General features: G+C 39.9%; 1 protein-coding gene across 10 annotated transcripts in view, besides 4 other annotated features; it reads left to right on the forward strand.

The window, feature by feature from the left end:
* The window catches only part of TNFAIP8 (TNF alpha induced protein 8), a 130,930-nt gene that overhangs the window by 102,384 nt on the left and 7,042 nt on the right, over positions 1-21,504 (forward strand). Inside the window, exon 1 of one of the 10 annotated variants that reach the window (XM_047417082.1) lies at positions 2,538-2,556. The exons of 7 other annotated variants lie outside the window; for them this stretch is intronic. Coding sequence is in view for 1 of the 3 variants with exons in the window: in XM_017009327.2 (XP_016864816.1) it covers positions 16,611-16,650 (40 nt within the window). In the remaining 2 variants the exon portion in view is untranslated. Of the gene's footprint in view, positions 1-2,537; positions 2,557-16,601; positions 16,651-19,860; positions 21,030-21,504 lie in introns of those variants that run through there. 2 more of the 10 variants (XM_017009327.2, XM_047417081.1) reach the window with 2 other exon arrangements.
* Positions 14,052-14,101: an enhancer, noted in NCBI's record as "active region_22981". NCBI's record gives its function as "activates an Ori minimal core promoter by ATAC-STARR-seq in GM12878 lymphoblastoid cells {active_cell/tissue: GM12878}" and the evidence as "EXISTENCE:reporter gene assay evidence [ECO:0000049][PMID:35858748]".
* Positions 14,112-14,261: an enhancer, noted in NCBI's record as "active region_22982". NCBI's record gives its function as "activates an Ori minimal core promoter by ATAC-STARR-seq in GM12878 lymphoblastoid cells {active_cell/tissue: GM12878}" and the evidence as "EXISTENCE:reporter gene assay evidence [ECO:0000049][PMID:35858748]".
* Positions 14,332-14,401: an enhancer, noted in NCBI's record as "active region_22983". NCBI's record gives its function as "activates an Ori minimal core promoter by ATAC-STARR-seq in GM12878 lymphoblastoid cells {active_cell/tissue: GM12878}" and the evidence as "EXISTENCE:reporter gene assay evidence [ECO:0000049][PMID:35858748]".
* Positions 19,924-20,081: a silencer, noted in NCBI's record as "fragment chr5:118726761-118726918 (GRCh37/hg19 assembly coordinates)". NCBI's record gives its function as "represses an EF-1alpha promoter that drives an FKBP-Casp9 reporter gene in an ReSE screen in HepG2 liver carcinoma cells {active_cell/tissue: HepG2}" and the evidence as "EXISTENCE:reporter gene assay evidence [ECO:0000049][PMID:32094911]".

The following is a 21,504-nucleotide window of genomic DNA, read 5'->3' on the forward strand; positions in this document are numbered from 1 at the left end:
AAATATTTTATTTTGATACATTAACAAGGAAGATAAGACAGCATTCATTTTGAGTATTTGCTATAGAATATACCCTGCATTGGACTGTGCGTGGAGTCTGGTATTTGTATGTTTCAAGGAAATAAAGGTACAGAGAAGCACTTGTTCGTTGCCTATATAAAGACTAACTGTACAGCTGACAGCTTAAAAGTACTGTATGACACTGCATTTCTTGTCCAACAGTAGCGTCTGTTTCCTTCATTCCAAAACCAAAAAAAAACATTAAAGATGAATGCTGAAAATGTGATAGAAAAAGACCTTCCTTTTTGGCATGTCCATTAACTGCCCTCACCGTTCTTTTCCAAGCATAACTGCTAGACTGGATGGCATAAATTAAACAATTAACAGGATACTAGTTCAAGGGGAAACTCTCCAGTTAGGGTAGATTTAATTTTCAGATTTGGAAAATGAATCAAATTACACATTCAAAAGACTTGAATTCATTTTTTTCTCTAAGCATGTACTTTTTATAATATACATTGTCTAACATCGGAGAGATAAATTCAGTATTATTTTCCTAAGATACTTTCTGCCTTTTGTAGCAGTGAGAATACTAGAAATCAGCGAGGCGTGGTGGCTCATGCCTGTAATCCTGGCACTTTGGGAGGCCAAGGTGGACAGAGGTGGTCCAAGAGTTCGAGACCAGCCGGGGCAACATGGCAAAACCCCATCTCGGCCGGGCGTGGTGGCTCACACCTGTAATCCCATCACTTTGGGAGGCCGAAGCGGGCAGATCACAAAGTCAGGAGATCTAGACCATCCTGGATAACACAGTGAAACCCCGTCTCTGCTAAAAATACAAAAAATTAGCCGGGCGTGGTGGCGGGCACCTACAGTCCCAGCTACTCAAGAGGCTGAGGCAGGAGAATGGCGTGAACCCGGGAGGCGGAGCTTGCAGTGAGCCGAGATCGCGCCATGGCACTCCAGCCTGGGCGACAGAGCAAGACTCCATCTCAAAAAAAAAAAAAACCCATCTCCACAAAAAAAATTATTTTTAAATTAGCCAACTGTGGTGGCACACCTGTAGTACTAGCTACTCAGAAGGCTGAGGTGGATCACCTAAGCCTGGAAGGTGGAGGTTGTGGTGAGCAGAGATCGTGCCACTTCACTCCAGCTTAGCAACAGAGTGAGACCCTGTCTCAAAAAAAAAAAAAAAAAGAATACTAGAAATCACATCAAGAAGAAAAGTTCAATAAAATAGGTTGTCTTTCTTCATAGAAATGATGTTTTAGAGTTTATTATTTATAAGAACTTATAAAATAACAGCTAGATATGATCAATAATATAATATTTTCCAAGAACAAAGATATGACCGTAAACCTTGCTAATCATTTGACTAAGTAAAATAAATTCCTAGCTTTGTTAAATGGCCACCGCTATGTGTGCAGATTTTATAAAGGCTCCAGTCTTTTAGAAAAAGTAGCCCACATACCATAAAAATACAAGTTGACCATCATAAATTGTATCTTAACATTTTTTTAAAAAATTATGTTAGTGGCTGGGCACTATGGCTCATGCCTGTAATCCCAGCACTTTGGGAAGCCGAGGCAGGAGGATCACCTGAGGTCAGGAGTTCGAGACCAGACTGGTCAACATGGTGAAACCCCATCTCTCCTAAAATATACACAAATTAGCCAGGCATGGTGGCGCACACCTGTAATCCCAGCTACTCGGGAGGCTGAGGCAGGGGAATCGCTTGAACCTGGGAGGCAGAGGTTTCAGTGAGCCAAGATGGCGCCACTTCACTCCAGCCTGGGTGAAAGATTGAGACTCCATCTCAAAAATAAAATAAATAAATAATAAAGTTATGTTAGTTAACACTGCATTTATTTTTTATGATCTTTGTCCTATATCTCTACCATGCTGACCTTGGTAGTATGACTGGATTCTTCTTGGGTATGTATTACACCTGAAGTCATTACAGAAGACACTCAGTCCCTTCATCCACCCCAGACACAAAGCTTAATAACCATACCCAACCCCTTTTCGACAGCCTGCTGGCCACACTGACTTTCCTATAAGATAAAAACTGCCGTATGTGGGATAGCTCTTGTTAGTACACCAAGAATGACTTCCCAATAGTAAAATTACTCTTACCCCAAAATGTAAGAGAGAGTGAAGAGATGCAGATATTTTCCCTATGTTAGGCACTTCATGTACTAAGACATTTTTCATTCATTTCATTTAGAAGCTTGTTTGGAATTCTAAAAAGTCACTTCAAAACTTTCCTCACCGGGACGTCAAGACAGGCATACAACGGGAAAGTGACTAGGGATAAGTTAATACTGGTACCTTCACCAGAGGAGGAGTATGCAATGTGGAAGACCTGTTGCTGCTGTTGAGTAGTTTTCAGTCTAGAGGAGTTAACATGCATACAAGAAAGTACATATTACATGGGGGTTAGAGAGGTTTCAGAAGGGCTGTCTGTGGCTGAGATCTTTGAGGCAGAACTGTTGAGACGGAAGGGATTGGCATGAAGCTTTGGAAGACTGGACGTGTGGTTGTTTCCCAAATATGGTACGTATGCCACTGGTAGTACAGTGACTGATTTTAGGAGGTCCCAGGTATAGTATTAAATCATCTTCAGTCATATCACAAAAAAATTAGTTCCTTTTCAGTGTCCTTGGAGTCCTTGACATCATTCACAGAGAATGCCTGCGTTTTGGGCTATGTGATCTCTGCCAGCTCACAGAAGCTTACCTCTTTTTGTGCCATGTAGGTAGATGGGGATTCATAGCCTTTGGCAGGCAACAATATCTGGCTAGAAACTAATAGTATTGGTGTTTTTTTTCCTCATTGAATTATTTCTTATGGTTTTAAACATTTTTTAATGATTTTTAATGATATATTTAGGGGAGTATCAGTTTCCATTCACATAGTATATAGGGTTTCCTTTTATGTGAATTAATTTTTTTAATACAAATACATTAAGTAACCATAAGTTAAAGTAAAATACAGGTAGCGTATCGCTTATCCAAAATGCTTGGGACTGAAGTGTTTTAGATTTTGGATTTTTTTTTTCAGATTTTTGGAATATTTGCATTATACTTACTGGTTGAGCATCCTATATCCAAAAATTTGAAATCTGAAATGCTCCAATGAGCATTTTGTTTTAGTGAGTGCCATATCAGCTCTCAAAAACTTTCCAATTTTGGCATATTTTGGAGTTTGGATTTTTAAATTTGAGATGCTCAACCTGTACCGATAGTAAATAGAAAACAAGGCAAGTGGGTTAGGATGTTCCTCACATAGATACAGCATGACTTTTCAGGGGAAGAGAGATTCCAGCAAAGATCCTGGGATGGAGAAGGTAACATTTTGAGAGAAAGGTGAGTAAGAAGTTGGCAGAAGCCCAGGGGGTCCTGTTGAAGAGTCAGAGTTGGACGCCTTCTAGCTCAGCTTGGTTGCCAGCGCAGGGAACAGAGGGCTGTAGCTCTTTGCATCTTATACTCAAGGCTGTCTGCAAAGTGATTCAGAATGGTTTGAGCCCCTGATCATTTCAATGCGGGGTAGCTAGGGCATATGCCTACGGGAGCCAGGAAATTACCCAAGTGCTGGAATGGCCGGGGGGCTAATTGGAGAGGACCCTGTGTTTCCCACTCTCCTCCCTCAGTATTGCCAGAAGGTCAGATTTTTTTCTGAGAAGCCAGAAATGTGAATTTTTATTGAAAGTTCCCAACTTCTACAAGTTTTTTTAAATACTAATTACAGAAATAAAACTTAGAACCTTTTGGGGGCCAATTTTGGGGGTGATGGACATGTCCTGGAGTTAGATAGTGGTAATAGTTGCACAACATTGTGAATATAGTAAAAACCACTGAATTGTAGATTTTTAAAATGCTTACAGTGGTGAATTTTATGTGATATGAATTTTATCTTAATTAGAAAAAGAAAAAAACACTATGAGGGCCCAGCCAAAACATGTTGCCTGCCAAAAGTTTGTAAGCTTTGCTTCAAATGGAGGAATTGCTATTTGCTGCTTTTCATAATCCCAACAGAAAGCACCTTTCCACAGGGGAGCAAGTGATTGGGAATTAATGGGGGTCATGTTGTGATCCCTACGTTAACCTCTAGGCCTCTGTTTTTCTTCCTGTGGTCTCCACGGCTTCTTCTATCTCCTAAAATAGGACCCATGATAGAAATGGTGAGATGTGGAGTGGTGGACTTTCTTTTAGAGTAACGAGTGAGTAGGTGAAAAGACACAGCTACGAAAGGTGGGGGCTGCTCAAGTATTTTAGAGAAGAAATTTATTTTATTTTGCAACTACTTATAACATTGATTGGTTGTGTTATGTTACTTGCCAAAGTTTATTTTACCCAGATATTAACCATTAGAGAAGTAATTAATCTTCAAGACAGCAAGTTCGTATATTTTGGAAAACGTTTTTCAGTTCTTACCAGGGAACGACTATAATGATCTTTTTAGTTATTTTCTTCAAGTGGAAAATGAGTTTAATATAGCAAGTATATGTCATCAACATCAAAGGATTATATAATTATTTTAATAAAACAATTTGTCTTTGTAACTTTTGGGAGGCTCTATTAAATTTTAAATATAATTTTAAGTTTGCCGATTTCAATAGAGGCAAAATGTTCAATTTAGGATCTTAAAGTAAGGATTATATCCTTAGTTAATCTTCAGCTTTTTTTCTTTCGTAGCAAACTAGCAAAGAAAGGTAGAGTTTCTGCCTTTTTCTTATGACTTAAACCTAAAGAATATGACTTTTTAAAAATCTTGAACCAACATTTGTACTAAAAACAATTATTATTTTTCAAAGTGTGGGTTATTCAGTAGTTTTTGCCAGTTCCAAATGTTATCAGATGACTTTTTGGATGCCTATCTTTAGTGATGAAATGTCGCATTTAGAATAAACACTTTCCACCCAAAGAACACTGAAATTAAAATGAAAAAATATATATAAACTTAAATTTTCTTTTTTGTTTTTTTTTTTGAGATGAAATCTTGCTCTGTTGCCCAGACTGGAGTGCAGTGGTGCAATCTCGGCTCACTGCAACCTCCCCGTCCCGGCTTCAAGAGATTCTCCCACCTTAGCCTCCTGAGTAGCTAGGATTACAGGCATGTGCCACCACAGCTGGCTAATTTTTGTATTTTTAGTAGAGATGGGCTTTCACCATGCTGGCCAGGCTGGTCTCGAACTGCTCTCTGTCACCTCAGGTGATCCGCCCACCTCAGCCTCCCAAAGTGCTGGGATTACAGGTGTGAGCCACTGCACCCGGCAAAAATAAACTTTTTCAAAAGGACTGCATTGGAATATTTATTTCATATGTAAGAGTATTTGAAATATAATTAAATCTAATGTTATTTATTTGTAGCCTCTTATTTCGGTTGTTTTATAAAAATCAGTATTCATTGTCTTCCCACCCCCCCCGTCTTTCTGCTCCCCCAGAAACAACCTGAGAATGCTTTTAATCCAGCAGATACATATTAAAGATTAATTGGTCATTTATTGCAAGGAATAAACAATAAATTGTAACCAATCACTAGGATTTACTTTCAGGGAGTACGGAAACAAAAGTATGATAAGCAGTTTCCAACAGCAGTTAGAGACAGGATAGAGCATTTCTGAATGGACGGTCAATGAGGACTTCCTGATATTTGGAAGGTGATATTTGGGAGGGACTGTGGGAGACTTCACCAACTCAAGACAGGTCCCCCTTGATTCCTTCATGCCTCTGCTCAAATGTCGCCTTTTCGGAAAGGCCTTCCCCAAGTACATCAAGTACCCTAGATAAAATAACATAGTTCCCCCTCCCATACACACATTTCATTTTTCTTTTAGCCTATATTGCTGCTTGACGTATTTATATATGTTTGTTTGTTTGTTTATATATTAGGTGTCCTAGAATCTGTGCTTCCTGAGAGTAGGCACTTTGCCTGGCACATAACAGTTGCTTAATAAAATAAAAGTGTATTGAATGAGGCTGGGCCTGGTGGCTCATCCAGTAATCCAGCACTTTGGGAGGCCAAGACAGGAGGATTGCTTGAGGCCAAGAGTTTGAGACCAGCCTGGGCAACATAGCGAGACCCTGTCTCTATCAGAAAATGCAAAGATTAACCAAGCATAGTGGCATGCACATGTGGTCCCAGCTACTTAGGAGGCTGAGGTGAAAGGATCACTTGAGCTTAGGAGGTCAGAGTGACATTGCACTCCAGCCTGGGCAACAGAGTGAGACCCTGTCTCAAATAAATAATTAAATAAGAAGTAAAAAAAAAATAAAAAATAAAAATTTGTTGGAGAAAGAGTGAGGGAATGAATGGGGGAAAGTTTTTCTGCCATAAGGCTCTTGACTGTGTAGAGCTCCAAACTGGTATGGAGAATCCAAGTTCAGTTTTCTCCTGGGATCATTGTAAATTTGTCAAATTTACCACCGCTCTGTGACTTAGTTGACACATTCTATAGAAATAAGGAGATTTTGGTACTCAAATGTAGCTTCCTGAAGTCTATGAACAAGTGTTATGAAAACAAATCATGATCACTCTTAACCTTCCCACCACTTCACCTTGCAAACCCCTCGTTAGAACCTCATATAAGTTGTGTTTAAATTATTTCACAAATCCAAGACCCCACACATGCCCCTCAGTTTCCAACATACGGGTACACTGCTGGGCCAGATTTTTAATTCCTGACTACCCAGTAGGAGTTGTTCCACTGAAATATAATCACATTTATTTCTGTAAGGCAGTGATTACCTACGCAAATGCCTACAGAACCCAGGAAATGAACAGAAATGTGTAGATGGCCAGGAGGGATGTGGTAAGCTGGAAAGGGTAGTCTTCTAAAGGAGGCAGCCATAATTTAGCTCAAATCCATTGTTGTCATATGAGAACGTGGGCCCATTTGGTCAGATCTGATTGTTCAAAGAAAATCAGACACACACATGTTGAAGCTAAATTTCCCAATTTTCTAACATGGACCACTAATCCTAAAGTACAATCCTGGATGGGCCAAATAATATGATATCCAGGTTACAACTTCTGCAAGGCATCCTGATCTAAATAAAACGGGGATGCCTGGGCATGCGGAGAGGAAAGGTTAGAAAGGGGTAACAACCACTTCACAGAGAATATAAATGCTGTGCTGGTGGTGAGCAATACTGCTTCTATAGAACTCTGGGTTTTTTTTTCCTAGAATTTCAGAGCTTCAGAGTGTCTTGATATTTAAAATGAGATCGTTTACATGAAAGCCTAGCAAATTCCATCTTACTCTTTGTTTACCTTTAACTGGATCTAGCCTCCTGACATTAACATGGCTATGAAATGCCTAACAACATTTGGATACAGTTATTGAGGAAAAATTGTGACAAGAATGTTGAGAGGTTGTGCCAAGATGCATATTTGAGAGATGCCCAAGCTGAGGCCAAGAGGTTACTGCTCCTAAAATATTCAAACAGATGGGTTTGGGATCTTTGCATGGAAGATTCCAGAACATTTGCTGTAAGGATTGAGTTAACTAAATATGGTCACTTCTCCAAACAAAAGTAGCTGGTTATTCTGTATGTTTTGGCAAAGGGCAGGGAAGAAAAGCAATAGATTAAAAAAATGAAAATGCATTTCTTTTACACAGCTTCCTCCCCTTTAAAGCAAAAGGTGGCTGGGCGCAGTGGTTCACGCCTGTAATCCCAGTGCTTTGGGAGGCTGAGACAGGAGGATCACTTGAGGCCGGGAGTTTGAGACCAGCCTGGCCAACATAGTGATAACTCATCTCTACAAAGAGAGCCTGGCATGGTGGTGTGCGCCTGTAATCCTAGCTACTCAGGAGGCTAAGGTGGAGGATCTCTTGAGCCCAGGAGTTCAAGGTTGCAGTAAGTTATGATCTGGCTACTGCACTCCAACCTGGATGACAGAGTGAGACATTGTCTTTTAAAAATAAATAAAACAAAAGATAGTTTGTATCCATATTTAGGGTTATGTGTTTATTCATGGAGTACAGATAAATTCATTTATTAAGCTCTAAATAGAAGAAATTGAGTTGATTTCCTGATACACCTTCATGAATTGCTGTAAAAGAGAGTGAAGGGTTCCATGGAGGCAGATTAGAGCATAGGGTTTAGTGCACCCCATGCTAGCTGGAGGGCACGTGTTAAGCACTTTGAACAATACAGAGATGAAAAGGCATGTACCTGTACCTTACTTGTCAAGGATTCTAAATAGATAAGAGAGGAATTTAACTCTTTCACAAGACAGAAAAGCAGGTTAGGAGAGATTTATTCTGGCCATTGGATTTGGAAAAGCTTTTTGGAAGGGGCGGCATTTACATTGAGCTTTACAGGATCAATAGCACTCTTTCAGGCAGGGATGAAGGGGGAAGGTGAAGGCAGATATATAGCTTTTCTTTAGTTTCTGTTCCCTGATGTGTTTGACCTGTGCTCCTTCATTTGATTTGTTTTATTTTTATTTGATTTGATTTGAGACAGGGTCTCATCTGTCACTCAGGCTGGAGTGGAGTGGCGTGATCTGAGTTCACTGCAGCCTCAACCTCCCAGGCTTGAGCAATCCTCCCAGCCCAGCCTCTTGAGTAGCTGGGACCATAAGCATACACCACAACACCTGGGTAATTTTTTTGTATTTTTAGTAGAGATGGGGTCTCTCCATGTTGGCCAGGCTGGTCTCAAACTCCTGACTTCAGGTGATCTGCCCACCTCAGCCTCCCAAAGTGCTGGGATTATAGGCATGAGCCACTGTGGCTGGCCTGTGCTCCTTCTTTTTAGTTCGAGGAGTTGCTTTATCTGGGGGAGCAGGCAGGCTCTAAGAAGTGGGATTCTGCAGCTGGCAAGCAGCTTCATGGCATTTGGTAGGCAATTTATAAACAATGAACATTATCCTAATTTCACTTTTCTTATAGAGCAGCTGTGTGCTATAGTAAGAAGTAATGGGCCTCAGCTCTGCCACTGTTTATGCACCCTTAGATAAGTCACTTGACTTCTGAGCCTCACTTCTCTTATCTGGGTCCCCCAGGGTTAAGTAATAACAGGACCAAACCAGAAATTCATTTAAAAGTGTTAGTGAAAATATCTTGCAAACTGTAGAGTACTATACAAAAATCAACTGTAAGTTTTCTTGTCTTTGTTATGTGGCCAGGAGCAACCTGATGAAACCAGAAAGGGTGTGTTGACCATTGATGCCAGCTGTGGGTCTGGTTCAGTAACTTCACTCTAGTGTGCTGGATTTTAAAATGTTACTGGTTTTCTAAGCCCTGCATGAATATAAATATTCATCAAGAGTCAGGGCCTCTGGCAGGACGGGAGAATTTAGGGATGGAAAAGTGTAGAAAATCACGGAGCTGTTGAGAGGATTATCCTCTACATTCTGGTAGATGATTGGATTATATCAACAGTGGAAAGGTTTTATGTCTTCAAGAAAATATGTAAATAAATCCAGCTTAATTGAAAAGTCTTTAGAAAGACTAATGTATCCTAATTCAACATAATAAATAAGGAAGATTCATTTAATTTCAAAAGACAAAGGATAGTTCACTAAGTTCAGTTTTGTATAAACAATTGTAGGATATTTTAATTTAATTTCAAAGCCATTTTGTAGCCTAGCGGTAGAGTTAGGCTCTGTTCAAACTTTGGTTTACAGTATTATCTAGAATGGGCTAACTTTTCTATTCTCTTGGATACTTTATCAAATTTTTTTAAATGTTTAATATAGTGAGCTCTGTTTAGAAAACATTTTATCTATATTCCTTGCACAAGCTGACATCTGTATTTTTGTGAAAAAAATCTTGAGAGGGAATTAAATCTGTCCATAATCTACTCACAGCATGCCTTTATAGCCAGAGTACGTCTGAAAATTTTAAGTATGGCATTCTAGGAGTACAGCTCAGAGCAGGCGTGTTCCAACTTTACTATATATCAGAATCAGGTAGGGTGCTTCCTACAAATGCTGGCTCTCAGACTGCAATCCTGGAGATTCTGATTCCGTTGGTTTAGCCATTTCTAAGAGGCCTCCGGCGCTTCTGTGGTGGACGGCCCATGACACTAAGAATTCTTCCTCAGATACCTGCTATATCTATCCTCTCCCTGCCAAACAAAGCCTTCTTGAAAACCAAGTATTGGCTGGGTGCCGTGGTTCACGCTTGTAATCCCAGCACTTTGGGAGGAAAAGGATGGCAGATTGTGTGAGCTCAGGGGTTCAAGACCATCGTAGGCAACATGTTGAAACCCTGTCTCTACCCAAAAAAATACAGAAAATTAGCCAAGCATGGTGGTGTGCCTGTTCCTGTTGCTCAGGAGGCTGAGGTGGGAGGATTACCTGAGCCCAGGAAGTTGAGGCTGCAGTGAGCCATGATTGCACCACTGCCCTCCAGCTGGGTGACAGAGCAAGACCCTGTCTCAAAAAATAAAAAATAAAAATTAAAAAAACGGAGTACAGAGACTATATACCACAGTATAGAGGCCATTCCCCTGTCTCTTTTTCCTAGGATGTAGTAAGAAGGTCCACTCCTGTGAGCAGTCCCAGGGTCCCGGGTAAGATTTCTTGGTTATACTCCCAATAAGGGTGGCACTTTGGCCAGAGGAGTTTTACCAGGGACAGAGTGGCCAATATGGTGAAACCCCGTCTCTACTAAAAATACAAAATTAGTCGGGCATGGTGGTGGGCACCTGTAGTCCCAGCTACTCAGAAGGCTGAGGCAGGAGAATCGCTTGAACCCGGGAGGTGGAGGTTGCAGTGAGCCAAGATCGCGCCATTGTACTCCAGCCTGCAAGACTCCGTCTCAAAAAAAATAAAAAAAAACACCGAACAAAAAACGGAGTACCTTTGTAGTATTTCCTGGGTCTTAACAAGCTATATATAATGTTTCAATTTTTTCTAAAATTCATAGGAGACACATACATCCTTGGGTTTCTGACATATAGGTACACTGATGAACAAAATTTTTTAATTCCTAATTAGCCAGTAGGAATTCCACAGATCTGCTCTGAAATACAATCATATTTATTTCTATAAGGCAGAATCTTCTTTTTCTTTGAAGTCAATCTCCTTTTGTGAAACTTTCCTCAAACCTAACCTCCCTCTATCACCCCATCAGCAAAAACTAATGTTTCCACTCTTTGCTACCATTGCATTTTTACATGTTCCTGTTACACAATTTATGGTGCATTCTGCCTAGCTGTGTACTCATCTATCCCCGGACCAGTCCCTGGGAGTCTTGAGTGGAGAAGAGGGATAGTGTTATTTATCTTTGAAACCACAGTATCTTATACATTATACACACTCAACAAAAGTTTTTGTTGACTGACTCATGTCTTTGGGTTTATGTTCTCTCTTTTCGCCACACTCCTTTCACAAGACCTGATCATAAGACCTGTGGCATCCTATACCAGCAGAACGTTTACAGTATCTACCATAATAATGATAATAATAATAATAATTGCTTACATCAGTTGACCCAATTATTTTATATTTGGTGCTGTTCTAAGCACTTTATATGGATTACTTTCATTTAATCCTCTTGGTAGTCCCATTTGCAGATGAGGAAACTGAGGCATAGAGAGGTTAGATAATTTGCTCCAGGCACATGAGCACTCAGTAGCAGGGCAAGGCCCCTGACCCAGTCTGACTCTAGAGCCGGTGCTTGCAATTACCATAATGCCTGGGTTTACCTGACTGCCTGTCTTGTACTCCCCTATTTGCATCTGATAATTGTGAATTCATTCCAGAGGAATACCAAGAACCCTAGTTAATTTGTTAGCCAATTATTTTCACTGACTTTATTCTACAAATTTGTTATGGTATCCTTTGTGAAATTAATTTGCAAAACTTGGGTAAGCAAAGTTAAAATGGTTCTTTATTGCACTAATCCTCAAAGCCTTTAGTATTATTAAAGCATTTTGTGCATCTCCAAAGGGGACCTTTGTGTACACTGTTTCCCAAACTTATTTAACTAGAGATAATTTTCCCCCATAAGACTCTTTTAGCTTATTGAAGAATTAAGGTTTTGTTTTTTTAATGTAGTTTGTAAGAGAAGCTAGCTAATGCCCTTGGGCGGTTGCCAAGAAATTTCTCAGGTCTTGAATATTTAGGTAAATCCTTATTTTTGACACTTTCTTATTTAGTCATAAATAGGGTGACCACTTACATTCTGGGTCAGTCACAGATCTGTTGTCATGGTGTAATTACTAACAGCACTGTTTCCAAAAGTATTCCCTTTGGATGATAAATTATCTGATCACTCTAATCATAATACTTGCCCCCCAACCATTAAATAAAGACCTACTTTACATACTTGCTACCTTCTCATCACTTACTGAAGGATCCTTACTGATAATGTGTGTGTGGGAACAAAGGTCATAGCCCGTATTTCTCCAGCATTTTACCATTTTATGTCCTAGTTTTATGTGGAATTATGGACACATATACAGTTTATATTCTTTCATCACTCAAAAGTTGCATTTCTTAAGAATTGCAAGCCTCCAAGACTTCTTTGCACTGCTCAGTATCTATTCATGTATTTGCTTAGTTATGCAGGGAGAAAAAAAACAAATCTAAGTTGTCTCTTGGAAGCAAGGGCAAGGGTTGAGGGTCAGAACTGCAGTGGGTGGCAAAGATGAGAAAGAGCTTTTCCATTCTGTATATTCTGACTTTTGAACAATGTAAGTATATTGTCGTTTTAGGTTATATTTTAAAATGCTTATAAACTGCTCAAGTTCTTCCCTGGAAGCTATTTCAAGCCCAGCTGGGTTGATCTTCCTTATGGTCTGTTTCTTCCCTGCAGGGAGACCTGGTCCCTTTCTTTTCTTTCATCTTACTTCACTTAGCTAGACATTATTAGATCTTCCTATACTAAAAGAAGAGGAAGCTTCTTTTCTTAAGCTCATGTATTATAGTGTAACAGCTTGGAGTTGGACATATCTGAGTTCAAGTTAATCTCTGCCACTTACTGTAAGACCTTGAGATAGTAACTTAATTTCTCTGGGCCTCAGTCACCTCATTTCTAAAATGAGTATAATAATAACCTCCTTCCTAGGGTTGCCGTAAAGCTTCAGTAAGATAACGTGGCCCGGCACGGTGGCTCACGCCTGTAATCCTAGCACTTTGGGAGACCGAGGCGGGTGGATCACCTGAGGTCAGGAGTTCGAGACCAGCCTGGCCAACATGGCAAAACCCCTTCTCTACTAAAAATACAACAATTAGCTGGGCGTGGTGGCATGTGCCTATAATCAGCTACTTGGGAGACTGAGGCAGGACAGTTGCTTGAAGCCGGGGGGTGGAGGTTGCATTGAGCCGAGATTGTGCCATTTCACTCCAGCCTGGGCAAAAGAGCGACACTCCATCTTAAAAAAACATAAAAAATAAATAAGTAAGATAACACAAGTTCTAGGCGGTTCCAGGGATAATGTAGTACAAATTCAAAAAATGGGGGCTGCTGTTATTATTGTTATCACTGTAATCATTATTGCCTAGGGCAACCAATGAGTCTTGTGGATATAAACCTCTGGCTCTGACTTTGGGTAACCACAAAATTCATTTCCCATAACCTCTATCCTAATATTTTGAGACTGACAGTCTTTGAGGTCCAACCATACTGCTTTATACTAACATCACCAAACTTTCTTCCATTACTGGTATCAGAAACCTAGAAGCAGCAGGGATATTTTGTCAGAGTTTATGCCATAAAGAAGGTATCATATGATTCCTGGGGCAAATTGATAGAAAAAGAGCAGAGATGGGGTCTGATATGAAGTTAGAGGAGTTGAAACTCAGGAAATGACATTTTCAAAATCGTCATAAAACTAAGCCACAGGAATAAAAGATACACGGTTGAACTCAAAATCATGATGAAGAGATTCCAGAATTAAAGCCTGAGATCACAGAGGGAAAGGCTTCATCCTGTTTTCTTCAAGGCATCATTTTTCTTGTCCACGAATTTGGCAAATAAGGGATGTAAGGAGAAATGGCCTAGTACACTGCTGGATCTTTTCAGATTTATAAGTCATTAAATCTCATTTAAGCCACACCAACTTGAAATGACCTCCAGTGTAGAAGATGAGAAAACTGTGTTTCAAATAAATTGCACCCAAGTTTACAACCTGGGACTCTTGACTTTGAGCCTTTTGTTTCCATCCATGCTGTTCTTAATTGGCTTCACGCCCTGCTGTTGGATCTCTGGTTCTCTGGGAGGCTTCAGAAACTGCATGAGAACGCTGTGACTTCTAAAGTGACCTTGTCAGCCCCTGTGGCTTTTAACTGTGGCTTTATTTTTGGCCCATTACCTTTGCATCTTGCTGCTGTTGCATAGCTTTTCATGGATGTTGACTAGGCTTCTCCTCTTGTCTTGTAGTAGGCTCTCATTCTGTTCGTGATAGGCCAGTTTTCTCTAGGCAGAATACCCCTATTTTAACTAGCAGAGTCCTCGTAGTACTAAATCTATTGCTAACAAGAAAGTAAGCACCTTAAAAAAAGAGAAATTCCCTTCTAAAGAAAGTTTTTAATATGTTATATATTTTAAATATCATTATGAAAGAGAAGATGTAACTCCTTATTAGCTGAACTATGTGAGGTCTCCGTTTTCACCCAGCCATCTGGCATTTTGCATTTCTCAGTTCATGATACTACCAGAAGGAATTAATTTTGGCCAAATGTGATTCTGTACTAAAGAGCATCAGAATGTATTTGAAGTTTAATTTGTTGTGTTCTTTAACCTATGAAGAAGGCTGTTCTGTGATAGGGATTGTGTGAAACACATCTATGTGGTCCATGTCCATTTATCTCTGGAACAACTCCAAAAAGTGGGGATCATTGTACTTATCTTACAGATGAGGAAGCCGAGTACCAGTAATATCCCTGAGCAGTGTGGCAGTTCATGGAACCATTAGCTACAGAGTATTTGGACTTTTATAAGTATACTATAGTTTTCCAGGACCCTGGGGAAATAAGTTGCCACAGAAAAAGAACACTAGTGCATTAAAGGTTCATACTGCAGTCTTTTTAAAAAAAATGTTTTCGGTGGAAAACATTCTAATATGTGTTACAAGGTATGTTTTTTAAGAGGATAAATTCATGACTCTCATATAAATACAAATTGCACATATTGAAGATTTTACTTAACTCATTTATTAATGAGGGAACCAGTAAGCTCTTATATTTGGTTCAAGGAGGATCTTAAGAGCAGTCAAACAAGAAAATCAGGAATCAATTGCATGCAGCTCCACTGAACACATTTTATTTGTGTCTGTATGTAGAAGAGCCATTTGCAATATTATCAGTTTTCTACAATTTACAGAGTATAAAATAGCTAAGCGAAGGACAATAAAGGGAATCTGGAAGAGTGCCTTAGACAATTCCTAATACTCCCGTCAAAAGAACCCAGTGTTTTGTTTTGTTTTGTTTTGTTTTGCGGGGGAGGAGTATTTCAAAGTCACCATTTTCTCTGACATGTCTTCTTTACTATGTTGCCTTTTAAGGTTAGCATGTATTTTTCTGGAGTATAAGAAACAGAGTGAATGACTTAGCTTGCCACTGTAATGGTGCCTGTCACTGGTTCTTAACCACTTGGGGGGATGTGCATATACCCCAAAATGTGCATTCCGTATCAGGTTAAGGACTTCAGATGTATTGATTCTCCCAAGACTATGTTCTGTGTGACAGCCTCCATCTGTGTGGCATAAGGCCAATTTTGGGATTAAGGTGCCTGGCACTTGTCTTCTCTCTCTAGTTGATAAGATTGCCTCCAGCTTGCTGCCATGGTCGTTGCTTCTGACCCTTCCAGGGCAGCCCCCTTTAGAGTTCATATCTGTGCTGCTTCTACTGGGTCTCCCTCCCTCCCTCCCTCCCTCTCTTTCCTTCCTTCCTTCCTTCTCCCTCTCTCTTTCCCTCTGTTGTTTCTTCTCTATGCTGTTGAATTTCTGACTTTGGGATTTTGAGTATGAAAGCTGGTGACACTGACACATCACTAGCTACTCCGAGCGTTCATTGCTTTTCTCTGGAGCACTGCCAAATCTCCATGTAGGGAGGTCAACTCTTCGCCTGCTGACTTCTTATGACAGGGTTCGTTGTTTGTTCTGGCCACTTTCTTATCACCAAAGCTGACTTTTTACTAAGTCCCATTAGATTTAGAATTATTTAGATACAAGAGAGCTAAGGTTTTATATATTTATTTAAAGAACTTTTATTAACAGACAACAGCCAGACATGCTTTCCAAATTATTATCTTTTCTATCCTTCCTAATATTGGAAACCTGGATCGAGTTTTAACTAGGCAAGAATTTGCAATGTATGTACATCTGTTGTCATCACTGTTAAAGAGTCCCAAGTATAATAGATTTGAGGGGAAAAAATTATGTATTTACTGGTAAGACTGTAAAGAAAATGATTTGAGTACTTTATTAGAAAATTCTCAGTGGGAGTAGTTATGTTATGGGGCATTTTTGTTAATTTTCATAAAACTAAGTATTAATAACAAAGGACTTTTTTTTCCTTCTGAGCATATTTTTTCTTGAATATTTGGGTCAGTATATTTTAACCATATTTATCTCTAACTTTATAATTTTGATGCTAAAGCCAGAATTCCCTAAATATCACTTTGCCTTACAGCAAATGTTGCTGAAATGGCCAAGGGAGGAGATACAGAGACAGAGAGGGAGGGAGGTAAGATAAGTAATGTAAAATAACATTTACACCCTATTTCTAGAAAATAATCTTAAACAGTTTTAATGTGGTGGTAATGCTTTGTATTTTTTTTTAAATACAGCATTATTCTTCATTAATGAACAATTTACATGTCTGTTTCCAAACACAAGTGAATTGATCTTAAGAGGCAAAAAACTGAATGAATATTTTCAGCACTTTCTCCTTGGGGAACATCTCCTGTTTACATCTTAGTTGCTTCCCAGGACATGCCTTAGGTATCCCTCTGGCACATGTCTAAACATAGATCCAGCCAGAAGTAGAGGTGGGCCTGTGTTTAATCTCCTGCTACAGTTCAAGTCAGAACTACACCTTGCTTTTACTCTAAATATTTGCATTATTGTCCTTGGATGTTTTCCCATTATGCACAACAAATCTCTCCTCTTTAAAAGAACTGGTTGATGACAGTAAGAGAAATCATACTCTGGAGCGCACTTAGAGGGAAGAAAAACCACATGTTTAGTGAGGTAAAACAAATACCTGTTTTTCTACCTTTTAATACAACAAACAAAAACACCCACTAATGTATTTACAACTCTCGTTTTACAGGCCAACATGTTTTCATAGAAAAGTATTTGAGTATATTGTGGATGAGATAGGGGAAATTGATTGCTGCTTCTGGACCAGCCACTCTCTAGGCCTGCAAGTTGACACAGTGAACATGATACACAGAATCTTTGCTCTCAGAGTTTAAATCCTAGTAGGGAGAGGCAGACAATAAAAATGTAGGCAAATGAAGAGGATTTAAGGAACAAGGAGGTGTGATAGTTAGCAAAGAACTTACATGAAGCATCTTTTTTTTTCTTTTCTTTTCTTTTCTTTTCTGAGACAGGGCCTTGCTGTGTCGCCCAGGCTGGAGTACAGTGGCATGATTATAGCTCACTGCAGCTCTGTAGCCTTGAACTCCTGGGCTCGGGCAGTCCTCCCACCTCAGCCCCCTGAGCAAATAGGACTACATGCCCAGCTATTTTTTTTTTTTTTTGAGTTTTTTTTGTAGAGACAGGGTCTTGCTATGTTGCCCAGGCTGGTCTCAAAGTCCTGGGCTCAAGTGATCCTCCCACCTTATCCTCCTAAAGTGCTGGGATTACAGGTGTGAGCCACTGCGCCCGGCCCCATTTGCAAATTTCATTTCTTGAAACTCTGGCTGATATGTGAAAAGAGATAGAAAGGGGTTTGGACTAGGCTGCTGTCCGTGGAGATGGAGGGAAATGGATAGAATTCAGAGAAATGCAGGAGGAAGGTGGAATGGAAAGAACTTAATAATGGACTGGGTGAGGGAGAGAATGGTATGGTGGATGATCCCCAGGTCTCTGATTTGATTGAGCAAAAGGTTGGAAGGGATGCTATTAATTGAGATCATAAAGAGTGAAAGAGGAGCACTTAGTAGGGAGGCAGGAGAGAATCAAAGATCAGTTTTGCATATGGTAAATTTGAGATGCCTGCAAAATAGTCAAGGAAAGAAAAATCTTGAATGCACTTACAAAATGAGTCCAGAAAAGAGGTCAGGGCTGAGTTATGGCTATGGGAGTCATTGGCACATGGGTGGTATCTGAAGCTGTGGCAGTGGATGAGATCACACAGGGGTGAGGATAGACTGAAGGAGAAAAACTTGATCCAGGACTAGCTCTGAGATACACCAGACTTTTAAGGGATCTGGTAGAGCATGTGGAACTGACAAATGAGCCTGCACAGGAATGGCTAACAGCAGTTAATTTGCAAGAAAAAGAAACAAACTTCATGAGCACAGACCACACATCCCTGGCCAGCGACTCTCAGCCACAAGCCCCAGTTGGCTTCAAAAAAACTTTCTCTAATGCTGGAAAATAAATCTACTCATGCATGTCTTCTTGGTGGAGGGGGAGAAAGAGCTTCAGATGGTGGAGGGGAACAAGGAGCTTCAACCTCATTTAAAAAGACGACTTCACTGGAATAACCCAAAGAATAAAAGGAAAGTGTGACACAGCTGCTGTGTTTCTGGAGCGGGGTTTGAAGTTCCTCTAGGATAAATATGAAAGCCTCAGAGATCAACTTCTCTATCTTGATTCATACTTGATTACCAGTAAATGGGGAATGATCTTGCTTAGTTGGCAGTAGATTTGCCTGTTACACACTCTCTTGCAGGAAGTTGAAGTGCTGTATCATAGAGTTTTTGTTTTCCATGTTTGAAGTTAAATGGGATATTGAGATTTAATCAGAAAAGTAGCTGAGAAGAGGTGTAAACATGAAAGTCCAGTCTTGGATAAAGGAGAAATCTTATGAATACCTCTCCCTCTGGTTTCAATATTTCACAACATAAAGTATGTCCAACTGATAGACTTGTAGTAAATCCCAGGTAAGATATTTGTAGACTGTGCCATGTTCTAAAACATTAAAAAAAAACACAATAACATTTCAACTTTATATGTAATATATTACTGAAATCCTGGTTATCTGCTGAGTAGCTGAAAATGGTTGGGTATCCCTATATAAATCAAGTTTATTGATTTTTTTTGAGGTCTATATCAGGAGTTCTAAGATGAAATATGGTCCCTGGTTTTAATGTGATACTGTTAGCTACATGGATGCCATTTCTTTTGACATAAATTCTTTAGTGTGAATTAATCTTTATACTCTTTTGCAAATCATTGAAGAATAGGAATAGAAACAGATTTCTGCTTAAATGATAAAAACATAAAACATTAAATGATGGAAACTTCTCCATAAAGTTGGCTGTTTCTCACACATTTTCACTTTCCTTCTCTTTTTCAAAATATATTTTAGTTCTTCTGCAGTTTCAGTTCATGTTTCAGAAGTTTAAATTTCGACATTTGTGAGGGGACCCTTTCTTATTCAATCAAGACATTCTTTGAGTGGATGTATGGCACTGTATATTTATAAATGATGTTCAGGTCATAAGGAACCATTTTGCAGCTGCCTCTACTATATACCACGAACTACTTTGGTCCAAATTTCAAATCTAATTTGGTTCTTCTTTTCCTCAATTTTATTTAATTTTAATTTTTTCTGAGACAGGGTCTCACTTTGTTGCCCAGGCTGGAGTGCAGTAGTGCAATCACTGCTCACTGCAGCCTCAACTTCCCAGGCTCAGATTATTCTCCCACCTCCAACTCCCTAGTAACTGGGACTACAGGTGCATGCCACCACACCTGGCTAATTTTTTTTTTTTTTTTGTAGTTTTTTGTTGCAATGGGGTTTTGCTATGTTGCCCAGGCTGGTGTCAAACTCCTGGGCTCAAGTGATCCTCTCCCTACCTGGGCCTGCCAATGTGCTGGGATTTCAAGTGTGAGCCACCACACCCCGCCTTTCCCCAATTTTAAATCCAACATGGCAGTTCTGGATTAAGGGAGTCACTCTTCCTATATGTCTTCCCAGTCTGGATTTTGAAGCAGCTGCCTTTTTGCTTCCTAATGATGCTAGCCTATCCAAACTAGAAATAATCTTATATAATCATTGATGCCTTGACTCATTTGTATGTATCTGTATTTTTAAACTTTTTATCTTTCATTACCAAATGACTGCTTTCTGATACCCAGGCCTAGGCTTAAACACTGGCATATATGGAGAGAACAGTTGCCACTCGACTCAGAGATTGAGTAGACACCCAAAGAACTGCAGTTCTTAAGCCTTAGGAGAAGCGAGAGAAATGGGCCAGGTGCGGTGGCTCATGCCTGTAATCCCAGCACTTTGGGAGGCTGAGATGGGCAGATCACCTGAGGCCAGGAGTTCGAGACCAGCCTGGCCAACATGGTGAAACCCCGTCTCTACTGAAAATACACAATTAGCCGGGCATGGTGGAGGGTGCCTATAATCCCAGCTACTCTGGAGACTGAGTTGTGAGAATCACTTGAACCCGGGAGGTGGAGGTTGCAGTGAGCCAAGATCACGCCATTGCACTCCAGCCTGGGCAAAAAGAGTGAAACTCCGTCTCAAAAAAAAAAAAAAAAAAAGATTGCTACATGCATGGAGTGGGGAAAATTGTGGTAGAAGAAAAGTAAACTTGGTTTGGAGAATAAACATTTATTGAGCATTTTCACTTGACCAGCTCTAAGGTGGGAAGATTACATATAGTGTCTGTTTAATATTTAATATGTATAGCCATTATTATGTATATTGTAAACATCTGTCAGAAGTTATAATTCCAAAAGTAAACTCTAAGCAACAGCTTTTTCAAAGTATATTTTTCATGTAGCACATTTCATTAGCTCATGAAAAGGTTATTTCCCCAAAATGTGTAAAAATGTAAAGTGAACAATGGCCATTCATCAGAAATAGCAAGTGACAATGAGCTCTCCAAGGAGCACTTCTTTTCAACACTCGACTTCTGGAGGCTGAAATTCAAGGTACTTAGGACAGCCAAATTGGTAGGCACTGGCCAATGTCTTGGGAAATTTGACTTTTTGCAACCGGATTATAAAACAAGGCTTTCCTTTTGATTTGCTTAATCTGCCATTTTACTCAATATTATGGCTTTGCCATTTGTTCTTCTTCCATTTAAATGAATTTCTTTTAAATCGCTTGTGGTTGCTGTTGCCCAGATGACAGGTATAGAGTTGATTTTGTATTTTTTTTTTTGTTTTGAGACAGAGTCTCGCTGTGTCACCCAGGCTGGAGTGCAGTGGAGCAATCTCAGCTCACTGCAGCCTCCGCCTCCTGGGTTCAAGCGATTCTTCTGCCTCAGCCTCCTGAGTAGCTGGGATTATAGGTGCCCACCACCACGCCCATGTAGGCCGGGCTGGTCTCAAACTCCTGATCTCAAGTGGTCTGCCCACCTCAGTCTCCCAAAGTGTTGGGATTACAGGTGTGAGCCACTCCACC

The sequence above is a fragment of the Homo sapiens genome, chromosome 5 (genome assembly GCF_000001405.40).
Source record: "Homo sapiens chromosome 5, GRCh38.p14 Primary Assembly".
NCBI classification, from domain to species: domain Eukaryota; kingdom Metazoa; phylum Chordata; class Mammalia; order Primates; family Hominidae; genus Homo; species Homo sapiens.